The sequence below is a fragment of the Homo sapiens genome, chromosome 8 (assembly GCF_000001405.40).
Source record: "Homo sapiens chromosome 8, GRCh38.p14 Primary Assembly".
NCBI classification, from domain to species: domain Eukaryota; kingdom Metazoa; phylum Chordata; class Mammalia; order Primates; family Hominidae; genus Homo; species Homo sapiens.
This window is the reverse complement of record NC_000008.11, coordinates 12,609,779-12,630,035: the sequence shown is the minus strand read 5'-3', so window position 1 is coordinate 12,630,035 and position 20,257 is coordinate 12,609,779. Positions and strand designations below refer to the sequence as shown.

General features: G+C 40.8%; 1 long non-coding RNA gene and 1 pseudogene across 1 annotated transcript in view, besides 2 other annotated features; both read left to right on the top strand.

Annotated features, from left to right (window-relative positions):
- LOC729732 (uncharacterized) overlaps positions 1 to 20,257 on the top strand; it is a 128,533-nt gene that overhangs the window by 35,576 nt on the left and 72,700 nt on the right. The window lies entirely within an intron of this gene.
- RPS3AP35 (RPS3A pseudogene 35) lies at positions 756 to 1,604 on the top strand (annotated as a pseudogene).
- Positions 15,519 to 16,020: an enhancer, noted in NCBI's record as "H3K4me1 hESC enhancer chr8:12471525-12472026 (GRCh37/hg19 assembly coordinates)". NCBI's record gives its function as "activates a minimal SCP1, AML or CMV promoter by ChIP-STARR-seq in primed H9 embryonic stem cells {active_cell/tissue: H9 hESC(primed)}" and the evidence as "EXISTENCE:reporter gene assay evidence [ECO:0000049][PMID:30033119]".
- Positions 18,095 to 18,594: an enhancer, noted in NCBI's record as "H3K4me1 hESC enhancer chr8:12468951-12469450 (GRCh37/hg19 assembly coordinates)". NCBI's record gives its function as "activates a minimal SCP1, AML or CMV promoter by ChIP-STARR-seq in primed H9 embryonic stem cells {active_cell/tissue: H9 hESC(primed)}" and the evidence as "EXISTENCE:reporter gene assay evidence [ECO:0000049][PMID:30033119]".

The window sequence follows — 20,257 nt, the reverse complement described above, 5'->3', positions numbered from 1 at the left end:
CACAGGTCCACACAAAAATTTGTACATGAATAATTACAGTAGCATCACTCCTAATAACACAAAGAGGGGATTAATCCAAATGCCCATCACCAGATGAAGAGAGACACCTATTGTTGTCTACCCACATGGTGGAATATTATTTGATCACAAAAACGAGGAAAGTACATACGCTACAGCGTGGATAAACCTTCAAAACAGATGAAAGATCACATTCTACATGATTTCATTCAGATGGAAATCTATAGAAATAAGAAGTCGATTAGTGGTTGCTTAGGGCTGGTAGGGGCATGGGAGGATGGGGGTGTTAGCTAAAGTGTATGAGGTTTGTTTTTGAGGTCATGAAATGTTCTAAAATTGACTGGTAATGTTTGCGTATATCCCTGAATATATTAAAAAGCATTGAAATGTAAAAAATGCAAAGAAAAAACAGCCCAAGTTGCAATTTTATTCAACACTTGATTGCTTTAAAAATAGATTCCAGGCTGGGCATGGTGGCTCACACCTGAAATCCCAGTGCTTTGGGAGGCTGCGGTGGGAGGATTGCTTGAGGCCAAGAGTTCCAGGCCAGCCTTGGCAACATGGCAAGACCCTGTCTGTACAAAAAAAGAAAAAATAAATATCAGCTGGGTGCAGTGGCTCACACCTGTAATCCCAGCACTTTGGGAAGCTGAGGCGGGCAGATCACCTGACATCACTTCAAGACGAGCTTGGCCAACATGGTGAAATCCCGTCTCTACCAAAAATATAAAATTTAGCCTTTTGGTACTCTGAGCAGCACCATGGCGGTTGTTAAGAACAAGTGCCTTATGAAAGGTGGCAAAAAGGGAGTTAAGAAGAAAGTAGTTGGTCCATTCTCTAAGAAAGATCAGTATGATGTGAAAGCACCTGCTATGTTCAATATAAGAAATATTGGAAAGACTTGGTCACCAGGACCCAAGGAACCCAAATTGCATCTGATGGTCTCAAGTTTCTAGTGTTTGAAATGAGTCTTGCTGATTTGCAGAATGATGAAGTTGCATTTAGAAAATTCAAGCTGATTACTGAAGATGTTCAGGGCAAAAGCTGCCTGTCTAACTTCAATGGCATGGGTCTTACCTGTGACAAAATATGTTCCAAGGTTGAAAAATGTTCAACAATAATTGAAGCTCATGTTGATGTCAAGACTACCGATGGTTACTTCTTTCTTCTGTTTTGTGTTGGTTTTACTAAAAAACACAACAATCAGAAACTGAAGACCTCTTATGCTCAGCACCAACAGTCTGCCAAATCCAGAAGAAGATGATGGAAATCATGACCTGAGAGGTGCAGACAAATGACTTGAAAGAAGTGGTTAATAAATTGATTGCAGACAACATTGGAAAAGATGTAGAAAAGGCTTGCCAATCTATCCTCTCCATGATGTCTTCATTAGAAAAGTAAAAATGCTGGAGAACCCTGGGTTTGAAAGGCATGGAGCTTCGTGGTGACGGTAGTAATTCTGGAAAACCCACTAGGGACGAGACACATGCTAAAGTTGAATGAGCTGATGGATAGGAACCACCAGTCCAAAAATCTGTTTAAAGTTCAGACTTAAAACAGTAGCAAATAAGAAGCTCTATTTGTGAAAAACAAACAAGAAACAACAATGAAAGAGCTAAATTACTTTGGTGTGGTGATGCATGCCTGTAATCCTAGCTACTCAGGAGGCTGAGGCACGAGAATTACTTGAATCCGGGAGACAGAGGTTGCAGTGAGCCAAGATTGCACCATTGCACTCCAGCCTGGGCAACAGAGGGAGACTTTACAAAAAGAAGAAAAAAAAAAAAATAAGTATCCAGGCTTGGTGGCATGCGCCTGTAGTCTCAGCTACTCTGAAGGCTGAGATGGGAGGATGGCTTGAGGCCAGGAGTAATTTGAGGCTGCAGTGAACTATGATTGTGACACTGCACTCCAGCCTGGACTGCAGAGCAGGATCCTGTCTCTTATACATACATACACACACACACACACACACACACACACACACACACACATATACACACACATACATACACACATACCCAGGCTCTACCTCTGGTGATTTTGACTCAGTAGGGTGGGGTATCCCCTAGGGATCCTGCTGTTCAGCCTGGTCTGGGATCCACTTTTCATCGGGAACTTAGACACTGGCTGTGAGCCCTTCTGTCCTGAGATGTAGAGGTCATGGGGATGCAGGTTCAAGCTTAAGGAGACCTGACTGTGTGTTAGGTATTGTGTTGAACATCATCTCTTACTCTTACAGCAACATCCGTAGAAGGTTGATGATGTGTCCCTGCTCTACAGATGAGGAACTGAACTTTCAGAGGAGTTTAGCTTGTTCAAAACTTATTCTTCCTATTGGAAACTTTGTACCCTTTGACCAGTGTCTCCTATCCCCTCCCTTTCCTTCACCCCATCCCCGGATAACCACTGTCCTACTCTCTATTTCTGTGAGTTCAACTTCTTTAGATTCCACATATAATAAAATCATGCAGTATCTGTCTTTCTGTGCCTGGCTTATTTCACTTAACACAATGTCTTTCAAGTTCATCTATGTTGTTGAAAATGACAGGATTTCTTTCTTTTTTAAGGGTTAATAGTATTCCGTTGTGTGTATATAGTACATTTAATTCATCCTTTCATCCACTGATGGACACTTAGGTTGATTCTATATCTTGGGTATTGTGAATAGTGCTGCAGTGAACACAGGAATGTAGGGATCCCATCGACATATTGATTTTGATTTTTTGGGGGTCTATATCCAGAAGTTGGGTTGCTGGATTATATGCTTTGAAATCTATAGCACAGCAGTGAGACTATAGTAAATAATAATGTATCTTTCAAAATAACTAAGTGGGTACATTTCAAATGTCGCATCATGAAAATTATCAGTAAATTAGGGGATGGACATGTTAATTAGTTTGATCTAATCATCCCACATTGTATACACATATCAAAACATCACATACATGTGTACAATTTTGATTTGTCAATTAAAATAACGTTAGTTAAAAAAATAAGTAACTTGTTCAAAGCCCCAGTTGGGATTGATGGAGCTGGGACATGCACCAAGGCTGTTGCTCTCAGGCCCACAGAGTCCTTGGTCCACGAATGTTGAAGCCCTACCTGAGATTTCAACTGAGATCAGTGTAGGGATTCAATGTCTCAGAATCATCCCATCCTCCAGGGCCCACAAGTCCATGACCGCTGCCTCTACCCCCGACCCTACTGACCTGAAATGTGGCCCCTGCTTTCATTTCCGGGAGCATACAACACTTACACCAAGCATTGATGGGTTTTGTTGACTTCATTTGAGATGTGGGGTCGTGGAGAGGGTCCCATGATCCTTGCTTGGTGTTGGCCAACTCATTGACTTCTCTCCTTTGACTTCACCCTTCCCTTTTCTACTCACCTCCTCTGTCATGGATTGTTCTGGTAATTCTGAGCCCTGGTTCCTTTATTTTGCAGATAACCTTCACTCTTCTCTGCAACGAATCCCAAAAGTGTGTAGTTGAGCTGACTGCAAGGTGCTTGACACGCAAGAGATTCCACAAATGGGATTCGGCCTCTGGAAAGTGGTGGTAGTTCCAGATTTATGTGAATGTTACTTTGTTTTTCCCTATAAAATCTATTCTTTAAACTATCAAGCTCTTGGGTCCTGGCTGCAGTCATTTGCTGGTGGTAGTGGGCTGGGTACTGCCACCGGGGAGAAATGCTGTCCACTTAGAGAAAGGGAAACTGGTTCTCTTTTAGAGGCAGAGGGAGGTTCTCTGTGCCAGTTTGTTTGGAGGCAAAATGGCTGTTGTATTAAAATTGCCCAAAGTTGGGCTGGTGCCTTGTGTGTTTAGAGCTCAAAGCCACGATTGTTTTCTTTTTGTTTTTTTTTTTTTGGTGGTTGGTTTTCCATCCTTTTGCTTGGCAGGTTTCTGCTGATAGCTTCAACCTCAAGAGTCCCATTATACAGACACTAATAGCACCTCCTATGTGTCAGTCTGTAGTGCCTACTATGTGCCAGGCATTGGAGATAATATAATGATGAACAAGATAAACATGACATTTGGAAAAGAGAGTCTACTTCCCACTCTCAGCCCACCCCAAAGAGAGGCCAGAATTGGGCTTCCAAAGATCTCAGATGCCCTTGCATCACCTCCCTGAAGAGGGCGGGTGAAGCTTTGGTGTCTGCAGAGAATTTGTCTGGACAATCCCCCAGGTTTGGAAGAATGGGAAGGAGCTGCCATCTGTGTTTAAGGTGAGAATTGGGGGAGTGGCTGGATATCAGCAGAAGCCAAGATGAAGAGAAGGTTTTTGTGAGTTCCTATGCATAGTGGAGACCTGTTCTAGTGAGGGTCCCTGGGGCTGAGCCTGTGGGTCAGTGGAATGATGCTGTGAGGAGGGTCTTGCTATAGCAGATGGCCCAAAGAATGTTGATGGATTGTGAGCAGCTGGAAGAATGGAGAGTTCAGGGGATGTAGTTCCTACCTGGCTTTCCAACAGTGTGTAAGCCCAGAATTCTTACATAAGCCCATGGAGAAGGGAAAGGAATGCTGGTAACGACAAGATTGAATTCTCCACCTGCCAGGCATCCAGGGACTCAGAGCAGATTTAAGTGAAGTTACAGAAATAGGAATGTGACATTTCCTACATCCGGGTGTGCTGGAGCAAATGTATTCCCTCTCTGGTTTGTGGGGAAGGAGAATGCTAACAGACAAGACTCTAGGTTTTCACTCTTAAACCTGGTGCCTAGAGATGCATTTTCTACTGGATGCAGACAGAAGCTCCATATAGACATATCCATCGCTGTATCTCTCATGCCTTCTGTTCTCCCTAATTTTCCCTTTTTAACCCACAGAGGAAGAAAGTTCCAGCATCACTTCTGGCCTCTCAAGAGTGAGTTTGGTGGCCAGGTTGGGTTATTCATGCCTGTAATCTCATACTGAAGGGGTGGCCTGCCCCTCCACACCTGTGGGTATTTCTTGTCGGGTGGGATGAGAGACAGAAAACAAATCAGACTCAGAGACAAAGTATAGAGAAACAACAGTGGGCCCAGGGGACCGGCGCTTAACATACCAAGGACCTGTACTGGCACCGTTCTCTGAGTTCCCTCAGTTTTTATTGATTATTATCTTCATTATTTCAGCAAAAAGGAATGTAGTAGGAGGGCAGGGTGATAATAAGGAGAAGGTCAGCAACAAACATGTGAGCAATAGAATCTATGTCATAATGAAGTTCAAGGGAAGGTACTATGACTGGACGTGCATGTAAGCCAGATTTATGTTTCTCTCCACCCAGACATCTCAGTGGAGTAAAGAAGAACAAGGCAGCATTGCTGTAAACATGTCTCGCCTCCCACCATAGGGCGGTTTTTCTCCCACCTCAGAATTGAACAAATGTACAATCGTGTTTTATACCGAGACATTCAGTTCCCAGGGGGCAGGCATGAGACAGCGGCCTTCCTCTATCTCAACTGCAAGAGGCTTTCCTCTTTGACTAATCCACCTCAGCACAGACATTTTATGGGTGTCGGGCTGGGTGACCGTCAGGTCTTTCTCATCCCATGAGGCCAGATTTTGGACTATCACATGGGGAGAAACCATGGACAATACCCAGCTTTCAAGGGCAGAGGTCCCTGCGGCTTTCCACAGTGCACTGTGCCCCTGGTTTATTGAGACGAGAGAATGGTGATGACTTTTACCAAGTATACTGCTTGCCAACATTTGGTTAACAAGGCACGTCCTGCACAGCCCTACATGCCTTAAACCTTGATTTCATACAACATGTTTTTGTGAGCTCCAGATTGGGTCAAAGTGGTTGGGGCAAAGCTACAGATTAACAACATCTCAGCAAAGCAATTGTTTAAAGTACAGGTCTTTTTCAAAATGGAGTCTCTTAAGTCTTCCCTTTCTATGTAGACACAGTAACAGTCTGATCTCTCTTTCTTTACCCTACATATCCCCCTTTTCGTTTTGACAAAACCACCACCATCATCATGGCCCCTTCTCGCTGGTCGCTGTCTCTCTGGAGCTGCTGGATACACCTGTAGACTAACAATAGAAAGGACAGAAATACAAGGATTAATACAAAATTTGCAATAGTGGAATTTCCGGTGGTTTTAACCCAAGTGACGGGGGCAAGAGGACGGTGTGGGTGCTGCGGCGCCAAGGCAGTCTCTCACCTCCTTTGTGTCTTAGTTGCTGTTTCTCATAGTTTTCAGTCTTTCTCCTCACCTGCTCACTCGCACCTTTTATCTCTTTGTCTCCCTTTCTTACGGTCTCTCTCTCTCTTTTACTCTGTTTCTCTCCCCAATCTCTTTCTGTGTCTCTCTCTGATCTCTGTCTCTTTTTCTTTCTCTTCCTCTCCCTGGCTCTCCACATGTGCCGTTTCCTTGGTGGATTGTAACTTCATCTGTTCTTCTGATATCACCATTTTGTTCACCCTGCGAGTCGATGATGCTCGATGGCGGGTTTTCTGTCTCTGCAGAGGCACTTTCATTTGCATCTCTGATAGGTTCATTGTAGAACTTCAAATGTCTAGTGGGTATCCAAACAGGAAGCTGATTTTCTCCTTGTGAAACACAAGCAAAACCTCTCCCCCATGTTATCACCTTACCTATTTCCCATGTTTTGTTTTTGTTGTCTTTCCACCAAATCAGTTTTCCCTCATGTGGCCTATTCTTTTTACCAGTAAAATGTTCTGCAGAAGTAGTGGTCTGATTTCTATGTATGTCTAGAAAATCTAAAGTATAGAGTGTTACATTAAGTTGCCTCTGGGGAGTGCTATACTCCTTACTGTCTTTTTCCTTTTTTTGTTTAACCAATTGAACTTTGAGTGTTCTAAACAGGACAGGTAAGATCTGCATCTGGCACAGTCAGCAAGGTCTCCTTACCCTGTGCTTCCCTTTCTGCCTGTGACTAAATGGGCATGTCAGGGTCTACCAGGGGATCCAGGAGGAGGAAGCCTCATTAACTTCTATTCTGCAGCAATTGATGGCCACCCAACTTGAACAGTGGGGGCTTATCACCTCATGTACTAAGACCAGAGATAGCTGATGCCAAGTTGGCTAAATTAGTAGCTTGAGATTTTAGGTTTTTCATTTGAGGTTTCTATGCTGCTATTGTCTTCTGCTCTTGGTCACAGAGGCTGCCACAATCCGCATGTCAAGTCCTCGTGTGACAATATCCAGAGACAGCAAAGAAGAGGTACAGTGTATTCCTGCATGTTTCTTAAAAGGAAAATGTTTTTGATAGAGAATAATTGTACACATTTAAGGGGTCCATGTGAGATTCTGGTACATGAGTGCAATGTGTAATGATCAAATCAGGGTCTTTAGGATATTAATCACCTCAAACGTTGATCATTTCTTTGTGTTGGGAATATTTAAAATCTTATTGCTATTTAGAAATACACAATAATTCTATTTATCAGGATATAAAATCTATGTACACAAATCAGTAGCAGTGCTATACACCAACATCTACCACGCTGAGAATCAAATCAAACCCTTTTATAATAGCTGTAAAAATAAAATACTTAGGAATATACCTAACCAAGGAGGTGAAAGACCCCTACAAGGAAAACTACAAAACACTGTTGAAAGAAATCATAGATGACAAAAACAAATGGAAACACATTCCATGCTCATGGATGGGTAGACTCAATATTGTGAAAATGACCATACTGCCAAAAGCAGTCTACAAATTCAATGCAATTCCTATCAATGTATCATCATCATTCTTTATAGAACTAGAAAAAAAAAAAACAAAATTCATTTGGAACTAAAAAAGAGTCTGCAAAGCCAAAGCAAAACTAAGCAAAAAGAACCAATCTAGAGGCATCACATTACCCAACTTCAAACTATATTACAAGGCTATAGTCACCGAAACTGCATGGTGCTGGTATAAAAATAGGCACATGACCAATGGGACAGAGTAGAGAACCTATAAATAAAGCCAAATACTTAACAGCCAAATGATCTTCGACAAAGTAAACAAAAACAAAGTAAGAAAAGTACACCTTATGCAACAAATAGTGCTGGGATAATTGGCAAGCCATATGTAAAAGAATAAAACTGGATCCTTATCTCTCACCTTATACAAAAATCAACACAAGATGGATCAAAGACTTAAATCTAAGGTCTGAAACCATAAAAATTCTAGAAGATAACATTGGAAAATGCTTCTACACATTGGCTTAGGCAAAGAGTTTATGACCAAGAACCCAAAAGCAAATGCAACAGAAACACAGATAAATAGATGGGACTTAATTAAACTAAAAGCCTCCTGCACAGCATAGGAAATAATCAGCAGAGTAAACAGATCACCCACAGAGTGGGAGAAAATTTTCACAAACTGCATCTGACAAAGGACTAATGTCCAGAATCTACAGGGAACTCTAATCAGCAAGAAAAAAAGAATCTCATCAATAAGTGTGCCAAGGACATGAACAGACAATTCTCAAAAGAAGATATACAAATGGCCAACAAACATATGAAAAAATGCTCAACATCACTAATTACCAGGGAAATGCAAATCAAAACCACAATGCAATACCACGTGTAAAATAAACAAAAAGAGGGCCAGGCGCGGTGGCTCACGCCTGTAGTCCTAGCACTTTGGGAGGCCAAGGTGGGCGGATCACGAGGTCAGGAGTTTGAGACCAGCCTGACCAACATGGTGAAACCCAGTCTCTACTGAAAATACAAAAATTAGCCATGCATGGTGGCAGTTGTCTGTAATCCCAGCTACTCAGGAGGCGGAGGCAGGAGAATTGCTTGAACCAGGGAGGCAGAGGTTGCAGTGAGCTGATATGGCACCACTGTACTCCAGCCTGGGCGACAGAGCGAGACTCCATCTCAAAAAAGCAAAAAACAAAACAAAACAAAAAAAACAAAAATTGATGTTGGCATGGATGTGGTGAAAGACAACGCTTTTACACTGATGGTGGGAATGTAAGCTAGTACCACCACTATGGAAAGCAGTATGGAGATTCCTTAAAGAACTAGAAGTACATCTACCATTTGATCCAGCAATCCCACTGCTAGGTATCTACCCAGAGGAAAAGAAGTCATTATATGAAAAAGATACATTTGCACACATGTTTACAGCAGCAGAATTCACAGTTGCAAAACTATAGAACCAGCCCAAATGTCCATCAATCAGTTAGTGGATAAAGAAAATGTGTTATATATATGTATACCATAGAATACTACTTAGCCTTAAAAAGGAATAAAATAATGGCATGCATAGCAACCTGGATGGATTTGACCATTATTCTAAATGAAGTAACTCAGGAATGGAAAACCAAACATTGCATGTTCTCACTCGTAAGTGGGAGCTAAGCTATGATGATGCAAAGGCACAAGAATGAAAGAGTGGACTTTGGGGGCTCAATGGGAAGGTGGGAGGGAGTGAGAGAGAAAAGACTATACATTGGGTAAACTGCTTTGGTGATGGGTATGCCAAAATTTCAGAGATCACCACTAAGGAACTTATCCATGTAACCAAATACCACCTGTTCCCTAAAAACTATTGAAATTAAAAAAAAGAAATACACAACAAATTGTTGTAGTCACTTTCTGTGATAATGAACACTAGATCTTATTCCATTATATATTTTTATACTCATTAATCAACCTCTTTTCAAACCCCTCCTCTTCCCAGCCTCTATTAACTATCATTCTACTCTTTATCTCCATGATATCAATTTTATATAGCTCCAGGGCACACAAGTCCATAACTGCTATCTCTGTCCCTGACCCTACTGACCTGAAACATGGCCCCCACTTTGATTTCCAGGAACATAAACCGCTCATATAAGTGAGAACATGCAATAGTTTTCTTTCTGTGCATGGCCTAGTTCACCTAACGTTATGACGTTTAATTTCATCCATTTAGCTGAAAATGACAGGATTTCATTCTTTTTTAAGGCTGAATACTATTCTATTGTGCATATATTCCCATTTTCTTTAACCATTCATCCATTGATTGACACTCAGATTGATTCCATATCTTGGCTATTGTAAATAGTGCTGCAGTAAATATGGAGGTACAGATATCCCGCTGATACACTGATATCCTTTTTTTTGGATGTATACCTAGGAGTGGGATTGCTGGATCATGGTAGATTTGTTCTTAGTTTTTTTGAGAAATCTCTGTACTTTTTTTCATAATGGCTGTACTAATTTACATTCCCACCAACAATATACAATAATTTTCTTTTCTTCACATGCTTGCTAGCATTTGTTGTGCTTTATCTTTTTAATAATAGCCATTCTAACAAGTGTGAGATGATATCTTATTGTGGTTTTGATTTGCATTTCCGTGATGATTAGTGATGTTGAATATTTTTTCCATAAACTTGGTGATGTGTATATCTTCTTTTGAGAAATGTCTGTTTGTTTTTTGATAGTTTCTTTTGCTGTGCAGAAGCTCTTTCATTTAATTAGATCCCATTTGTCACTTTTTGCTTTTGTGGCAATTGCGTTTGGCATCTTTACCATGAACTCTTTGCCCATCACTATGTACTGGAGGGTATTGCCTAGGTTGTCTTCTAGCGTTTTTATAGTTATGGGTTTTACATTTAAGTCTTTAAGCCATCTTGAGTTAATTTTTGTGTATGGTGTAAGGGAGGGGTGTTGTCTTTTCACTCTGTTGATTGTTTTCTTTGATATGCAGAAGGTATTTAATTTAATATAATCCCATTTGTCTGTTTTTGTTGCTTGTACTTTTTAAGTGTTAGCCATACAATCTTTGTTCTCAAGCGTTTCTCCTGTGTTTACTTCTAGTAGTTTTATAGTTGTGGCTGTTACATTTAAGTCCTTAATTGATTTTGAGTTTATTTTTGTAAGTGATGAGAGATAAGGGTCTAGTTTCATTATTCTGTGTTTGGATATCTAGTTTTCCTGGCACCATTTAATGAAGAGGGTGTCCTTTATTCAATGTATGTTCTTGACAGCTTTCTTGAAAATCAGTTAGCTGGAAATATGTGGATTCATTTCTGGATTCCTTAGTCTGTTTCCTTTGTTTTTGTGTCTGTTTTAATACCAATACACGCTGTTTTGGTTACTATAGCTTTGCAGTATATATATATAATGTTATTTTTTTTTTCTTTTTGAGATGGAGTCTTGCTCTGTCACCGAGGCTGGAGTGCAGTGGCGTGATCTCTGCTCACTGCAAGCTCTTACTCCCGGGTTCACGCCATTCTCCTGCCTCAGCCTCCCGAGTAGCTGCTGGGACTACAGGTGCCCGCCACCACGCCTGGCTAACTTTTTTTTTTTTTTTTTTTTTAAGAAAAGACGGGGTTTCACCGTGTTAGCCAGGATGGTCTCGATCTCCTGACCTTGTGATCCACCTGCCTTGGCCTCCCAAAGTGCTGGGATATAGGCTTGAGCCACCTCACCCGGCCTCTTTGCAGTATATTTTTAAATCAGGTAGTGTGAGGCTTCTAGCTTTGTTCTTTTTGCTCAGTATTGCTCTGGTTATTTGGGGTTTTCTGTGGTTCCATATGAATTTCAGGGTTTTTTTTTCCTGTTGCTGTGAAAAATATAATTGATAGGGCTTATACTGAATCTCTAGATTGCTTCGGGTAGTATGGTCATTTTAACAGTATTAGTTATTCCAACCGACGAGCATAAGATGCCTTTCCATTTGTTTGTGTCCTTCTCAAATTATTTTAACAGTGTTTTGTGGTTTTCATTGTAGAGGTTTTTTGGTTTTTTTTTTCCTCATCCTTGGTTGAGTTTATTCCTAGGTATTTTATTTTTGTAGCTATTGTAAATAGAATTTCTTCCTTGATTTCTATTTTAGCTAGTTTGTTACTGGTATATAGAAACATTACTGATTTTTGTATGTTGATTTTGTGTCCTGAAGCTTTACTGAATTATACATCCGTTTTTAAAAAATTTTTAATTTTTATTTTTTATTTTTTGAGAGAGTCTCATTCTGTTTTCCTGGCTGGAGTGCAGTGGTGCAATCTTGGCTCACTGCAACCTCCACCTCTCGGGTTCAAGCGATTCTCCTGCTTCAGCCTCCCAAGTAGCTGGGATTACAGGCACTTACCACCATGCCTGGCTAATTGTATTTTTGGTAGAGACAGGGTTTCACCATGTTGGCCAGGCTGGTCTCAAACTCCCAACCTCAGGTGATCCGTCCACCTTGGCCTCCCAAAGTGCTGGGATTACAGGCATGAACTACCATGCCCAGCCTAATTTATTTTAAGAGTTTTTTGGTGGAGTCTTTAGGTTTTTCTGTTTACAGGTATAAGATTATGACATTTGCAAAGTGAGACAATTTGACTTCCTCTTGTCCATTTGGATGCCTTTTATTTCTTTATCTTGTCTGATCACTCTGGCTTGGATGTCCCATACTGTGTTGAATAAGTGGGGTGAAAGTGGGCATCCTTCTCTTGTTCCAGTTCTTAGAGGAAAGGCTTTTCAATTTTTCCCAGTGAGTAGGATGTTAGCTGTAGATTTGTCATATATGCCTTTTCTTAGGTTGAAGTGTTCCTTCTATGCATAATTTGTTGAGAGTTTTCATCATGAAGGAATGGTAAGTTTTACTGAGTGATTTTTCTGCATCTGCTGAGATGATCAGATAGTTTTTGCCTTTCATCTTGTTGATATCATGTATCACATGTATTGATTTGTGTATGTTGAGCCATTTTTGCATTCCTGGGATAAATCCCACTTGATCATGGTATATTATCTTTTTCATTCATCATTAGATTTGGCTTGGTAGTATTATGCTGAGAATTTTACCATGTATGTTCATTAGGAATATTGGCCTGTAGTTTTCTCCCTTTGTTGTGTCCTTGTCTTGATTGGATATCAGGGTAATGCTGGCCTTATACAATGAGTTAGGAAGAATTCCTCCGTCTTCAATTTTTGGGAATAGTTTGAGAAGAATTGGTGTTTGTTTTTCTTTATAAATTTGGTAGAAATCAGCATAAAAGCCTAGTCTAGGGCTTTTCTCTTTTGGGAGACTTTTTGTTACTGATTCAAACCTGCTATTCATTTTGGGTCAGTTCAGGTTTTCTGTTTCTTCCTAGTTCAATCTTGGTAGGCTGTGTATGTCTGGGAATTTATCCCTTTCCTCTAGGTTTTCCAATTTGTTAGCATATGGTTGCTCATAATAGCCTCTAATGATCCTTTTTATTTCTTTGATAACAGTTGTAATGTCTCCTTTTTCATTTCTGATTGTATTTATTTGGGTCTCCTTTTTTTTTTTTTTTTTTTTGTTGGTTAGCCTCACTAGTGGTTTATCAGTTTTGTTTAACTTTTCAAAAAACCAACTTTTATCTTGTTGATTCTTTGCATTTCTTTTTTGTCTCTGTTGCATTTGGTTCTGCTATGTTATTTATATTTTTTCTTTCTACTAATTGTGTGTTTGATTGGTTCTTTCTTTTTGAGTTCCTTGAGGTGCATCATTAGGTTGTTTATTTGAAATCTTTCTACTTTTTTGGTGTAGGAATTTATTGTTACAGACTTTCCTCTTAGTACTGCTTTTGCTGTATCCTATAGGTTTTGCATGATGTGTTTCCATTTTCTGTTTAAAAAAAATTTTTGATGTCCATCTTAATTTCTTCATTGACCCAAAAATCATTCAATAGCATGTTTAATGTCCATGTATTTGTACAGTTTCCAAATTTTTTCTTCTTATTGCTTTCAAGCTTTATTCCATTGTGGTCTGAGAAGATACTTGATATTTTAATTTTTAAAATTTTATTGAGCCTTGTTCTGTGTCCTAACATATGGTCTATCCTGGAGAATGTTCCATGTGTTGATGAGATGATTGTATATTCTGCTGCTGCTGGATGAAATATTCTGAAAATATCTGTTAGGTCCATTTGGTCCAAAGTGCAGCTTAAATCTAATGTTTCTTTGTTGATTTTATGTCTAGATGAATTGTCCAATGCTGAGAGTAGGATATTGAATTTCTTAACTATCATTGTATTGGACTCTATCTCTCCATGTAGATTTAATAATATTTGCTATATGTGTCTGGATGCGGTTATGTTGGTTGCATGCATATTTAGAATTGTTATACTTTGTTGCTGAATTGATCCCTTTATTACCATATAATGAACTTCTTTGTCCTTTTTACAGTTTTTGACTTAAAGTCTGTTTTATCTGATGCAAGTTTAGCTACTCCTGATTACTTTTGATTTCTGTTTGTGTGGTATATCTTTTTCCATCCCTTCACTTTCAGTCTGTGTGTGTCTTTACAAGTGAAGTGAGTTTCTTGTAGACGTTGTTGGGTCATTTTTTATCCATTAAGCCTGTCTCTATCTTTTAGGTAGGTAATTTAACACATACTCGAAGTTATTATTGATAGGTGAGGACTTATTCCTGTCATTTTGTTCATTGTTTTCTGGTTATTCTGTATATCCTTTTGATATGGTTTGGCTGTGTCCCCACTCAGATCTCATCTTGAATTCCCATGAGTTGTGGGAGGGACCCAGTGGGAAGTAGTTGAATCATGGAGGCAGGTATTTCCCATGCTATTCTTTTAATAGTGAATAAGTCTCGTGAGATCTGATGGTTTTAAAAGGAGGAGTTTCCCTGCTCAAGCTCTCTGCCTGTTGCCATCCCCGTAAGATGTGACTTGCCTCTCCTTGACTTCCGCAATGATTTTGAAGCCTCCCCAGCAATGTAGAACTGTAAGTCCATTAAACCTCTTTCTTTTGTAAATTTCCCAGTCTTGAATGTGTCTTTATCAGCTGTATGAAAATGGACTAATGCAGTAAATTAGTACCACAAGTGAGGTGTTGCTAAAAGATACCTGAATATGTGGAAGTGACTTTGGAACTGGGAAACAGGCAGAGGTTGGGACAGTTTGGAGAGCTCAGAAGGAGACAGGAAAATGTGGGAAAATTTGGAAGAGATTTCCTAGAGACTTGCCCAAAATGCTGATGGTTATATGGGCAATAAAGTTTAGGCTCAGGTTGTCTCAGATGGAAATGAGGAGCTTGTTGGGAACTGGCACAATGGTGACTCCTGTTATGTTTTAGCAAAGAGACTGGTGGCTTTTTGCCCCTGCTGTAGAGATTTGTGTAGTTTTGAACTTGAGAGAGATGATTTAGGGTATCTGATAAAAGAAATTTCTAAGCAGCAAAGCATTCAAGAGATGACTTGGGTGCTGTTAAAGGCCCTCAGTTTTGTAAGGGAAGCAGAGCATGAAAGTTTGGAAAATCTGCAGCCTGACAATGCGATAGAAAAGAAAATCCCATTTTCTCAAGAAAAATTCGATCTAGCTGCAGAAGTTTGTTTAAGTAACGAGGAGTCAAATGTGAATCCCCAAGACAATGGGGAAAATGTCTCCAGGGCATGTCACAGGTCTTCATGGCAGCCCCTCCCATCAAAGGTCCAGAGGCCTAGGAAGAAAAGATGGTTTTGTGGGCTGGACCCAGGGACCCCTGCTGTGAGCAGCCTAGGGTGCCAGAGTCCTAGCCACTCCAGCTGCAGCTAAAAGGAGCCAAAGTACAACGTGGGCTGTGGCTTCAGAGGGTGCAAGCCCCAAGCCTTAGCAGCTTCCACATAGTGTTGAGCCTGTGGGTGCACAGAAGTCAATAATTGAGGTTTGGGAACTGCTGCCTAGATTTCAGAAGGTGTAAGGAAATGCCTAGATATCCAGGCAGGAGTTTGCTGCAGGGGCAGGGCACTCATGGAGAACCTGTACTAGGGCAGTGCAGAGGGGAAATGTGGGGTCAGAGCCCCCACATAGAGTCCCTACTGCAGCGCCACCTAGTGGAGCTTTGAGAAGAGGGCCACCATCCTCCAGACCCCAGAATGGTGGATTCACTGACAGCTTGCACTGTGTGCCTGGAAAAGCTGCAGACACTCAATGCCAACCCGTGAAAGGAGCCAGGGGGGATTTAAACCCTACAAAGCCACAGGAGTGGAGCTGTGGCCTTTTTTCTCCCAAGGCCATGGGAGCCCACCTCTTACATCAGCATGACCTGCATGTGAGACATGGAGTCAAAGGAGATCATTTTGGAGCTTTGAGATTTGACTGCCCCACTGGATTTTGGGCTTGCATGGGTCCTGTAGCCCCTTTGTTTTGGCAATTTTCTGCCATTTGGAATGACTGTGTTTACCCAATGCCTATACCCCCATAGTATCTAGGAAGTAACTAACTTGTTTTTGATTTTACATGCTCATAGGCAGAAGGGATTTGCCTTGTCTCACATGAGACTTTGGACTCTGGACTTTTGAGTTAATGCTTAACTTAGTTAAGACTTTGGGGGACTGTTGGGAAGGCATGATTGGTTTTGAAATGTGAGGATATGAGATTTGGGAAGGGCCAGGGGCAGAATGATATGGTTTGATTTTATCCCCACCCAAATCTCATCTTGAATTCCCACATGTTGTGGGAGGGACCTGGTGGGAAGTAATTGAGTCATGGGGGCAGGTCTTTCCCATGCTGTTCTCATGATAGTGAATACGTCTCAGAAGTTCTGATGTTTTTGAAAAGGGTAGTTTCTCTGCAGAAGCTCTCCCTTTGCCAGGTGCCATCCATGTGAGACATGACTTGCTTCTTCTTGCCTTCCAACGTGATTCTTAGGCTTCCTCAGCTATGTGGAAGTGTACGTCCATTAAACCTCTTTCTTTTGTAAATTGCCCAGTCTCAGTCAGGTATGTCTTTATCAGCAGTGTGAAAACAGACTAATACACCTTTGTTCCTTTTTTCTCTCATTATTTATGGTTGCAGTTTGGTGGTTTTCTTTAGTGGTGATGTTTGAATCTTTTCTTCTTTGTGTGTCTGAACTAGCAGTGAGTTTTATACTTTCATGTATTTTCATGATGGTAGATATTGTTCTTTTGCTTCCCAATGTAGGACTGCCTTAAACATTTCTTGTAGGACCACAACAAACAAGACACAAACAAACAGTCTTTTGTTTATCTGGGAAATACTTTTTCTCTTTTATTATTATTATTATTTTTTAGCAATGGAGTCTTACTCTGTCACCCAGGCTGGAGTACAGTGGCATGATCATAGCTCACTGCAGCCTTGAACTCCTGGGATCAAATGGTCCTCCTGCCTCAGCCTTGAGTCTCTGGAATTGCAGATGTGAGCCACTGTGCCAGGCTCCTTCATTTGCGAAGGATAGCTTTGCTGGGTATAGTATTTTTGGCTTACTTTTTTTTTTTTTTTTTTTTTTACTTGTAGTATACATCCTCTTTTCTCCTAGCCTGTAAGGTTTCTGCTGAGAAATCCACTGTTAGCCTGATGGAGATTCTCTTATAAGTGACTTGATGCTTTTCTCTTGCTGTTTTTAGCATTTTCTCTTTGTCTTTTGACAATTTTACCATAATGTGCCTTGGAGAAGACCTTTTTGAGTTGTATTTATTTGGTAAGCTTTGAGCTTCCTGCATTTGGAAGCTTTCAGGAAGTTTTCAGTTATTATTTCATTAAATAGGTTTTCTATGCCTTTACCCATCTCATCTCCATCCAGAACTCCCAGAATTTCAGTTTTTGGTCACATATGTGTCCCATATGTCATGTAGCCTTGCTTCAGTCTTTTTTCTTTCTTTTTGTCTGACTGGATTATTTTAAAGACTAGTCTTCAGGTTCAGAAATTCTTTGTTTTGCTTGATCTAGTCTATTGTTAAAGCTGTCAATTATCTTTTGTATTTATTTCAATGATTTATTCTCTTCCAGGATTTGTGTTTGGTTCTTTGTTATGCTGTCTATCTCTGTTGAATTTGTCATTCAGATCATGAATTGTTTTCCTGTTTTTTTTTTTTTTTTTTTTTTTTTTTATTCATTATCTGTGTTCTCTTGTATCTCCCTGAGTTTCTTTAATAACATTATTCTGAATTTTTTTTCAGGCATTTCATAGATTTTCTTTTCATTGGATCTGTTGCTGGAGAATTATTGTGCTTCTTTGGAGATGTTATGTTTCCTCTTTCATATTTCTTGCATCCTTATGTGACTATCTGTGCCTCTGACATAACAGTCATTTCTTCCAACTTTATGGATTGGCTTTTATATGGGAAAGACCTTTTCTTATAGCTGTATCTACAATGTTCATTGGATATCACACTTTGGCTTTGATTCTCGCTGGGTACAGTGGTATAATCTGCATATGATTCCTTCAGCTGTAATTGGCATGAGTGGTGTCTGTGAGTCATTCAGTGGCTTAGACTGCAGTGTTTGTTTTTTGTGGTTATTGAGATGGAGTCTAGCTCTGTCACCAGGCTGGAGTGCAGTGACACAATCTCAGCTCACTGCAACCTCTGCCTCCCGGGTTCAAGCAATTCTCCTGCCTCAGCCTCCTGAGTAGCTGGGACTATAGGCACGTGCAACCATGCCCAGCTAATTTTTGTATTTTTAGTAGAGACGGGGTTTCACCATGTTGGCCAGGCTGGTCTCGAACTCCTTACCTCATGATCTACCCACCTCATCCCCTCAAAGTGCGGGGATTACTGGTGTGAGCCACCACACTTGGCCAGACTGCTGTTGTTATTGGAGGCTGTGGTGAGGCTTTGCTGAGGATGGGCATGCCAGGAAGTCTTGTCCTTCAGCATCAGTGGTAGTGGTTGTGGACGAGGTGTGTCAGTACTAGGGACCATGGGCAGTGTTTGTGGGCACTGATGATAGCCTGTCTGCGTGGGCCAATCCCTGGGCCTCCATGTGGCTTCTTTGGTTGCTGGCAGTGGCAGCACTGGGCCAGGTGGGCAGGTTCGCCACTGGGCTCCTTGGTGGTGTGTGTGGCAGGCTGATCTCTAGTTCTCCATGTGACGTATGCAGGTTCTGGTGGTGGGTAGGCAGGCGTTTCCTCAGGCCTCTCAGTAGTAAGTGTGGGCACTAGCTCTGGAGGCAGGTGAGACAATCTTCAGGCACTAGCATATTCCTATGCATTTCTAGATAAAAGTATTTTTCAGAAAACCTGAGCATATGTCCTATTAATACAACTTACCCTCATCAGCTCCACATGAGAAGAAGGGGGAATTCCCTCAGTAGAACAGTCAGAATGGAATCACAGACTTGTTTTGAGCTAGTCACTGGTAAGGGGGTGTAGGCTAAAATGACAAGCTCAGAATCTAAACCTTAGACTAGGGAATGACAAACTTTTTCCATAAAGAGGCAAACGGTAATATTTTAGGCTTTTTGTCTAGATAACCTCTGTTGCAGTGACGCAGTGGTGCCATCGTAGTCTAAAAGCATATGTAGACAAGGCATAAATCAATGGACCTGGTTTTATTCCAGTAAAACTTAAATTATACAAACAGTCAGAGGGCCAGATTTGGCCCTTGGTCTATAGTTGGCCAACCCTGTTTAGACCAGACAAAATTTATTCCCTGGGGCTGGGCCAACTTTTTCTTAGAAAAAAAAAAAAAGAAAGCAACCCACTGTCAGAATAAAATAGGGTTTCTATTTATAAAGAAGAAATGGCTGGTTGTGGTGGATCATGCCTATAATCCTAGCACTTTGGGAGGGTGAGGCAGGAGGACTGCTTGAGGCCAGGAGTTTGAAACCAACTTGGGCAATATAGTGAGACCCTGTCTCTGCAAAGAATAAAAAAATTAGCCAGGCATGGTGGCACATTTCTGTAGTCTTAGCTACATAGGAGGCTGAAGGGGAAGATCACTTGAGCCCAGGATTTTGATGTTACAGTGAGCTCTGACTGTACCATTTGTACTCTAGCCTAGGCAAAGAGGGAGAACCCAAAAACAAACAAACAAAAAAGGTTGGTTGGGGCGGGTTGGAGAAGAAAGTATTTGTGAATTTCTGGTTAGGTTACTGGTAGTGTCAGGCCAAACTAGTTCTACTGTCATTTTCATTATAAATAAAGGCAACTAGAAGATCTCCATCTAGCTATTAAAAATTGGTTAAAATCTACAGAGATAAAGGACGGTGACCCTTGTATCAGTTAGTTGTTGTCACAAAATGCTGCATAAAAAGTCACTCCAAATCTCAGTGGCTTAATACAACAATCATTTATTTTCATGGATCTATGGGTCAACTGAGGATTGGTCAATCTAGCATGAGCATGTCTGGGAAGCTTGACTTCACTGTTGGTGCTCTTATCTTCTGCTGGAAGCAGTTTACATTTTTAAATTGGTTACTAGTGTCAGAATGTTTCATGAGTAAGAGCACAGCCTCTAAGTTGGATACCCTGAATTTAAGTCTCAACATGGCCATTTTGTATATAAGCAGAGGACGGATTTGGGGACCCAATGGATCTACCATGACATGAACTTGGGCCAACATTCACCTGAACTCCAAAATGCCTATTCTGACTGGTAGACCCTAGTCTCGCC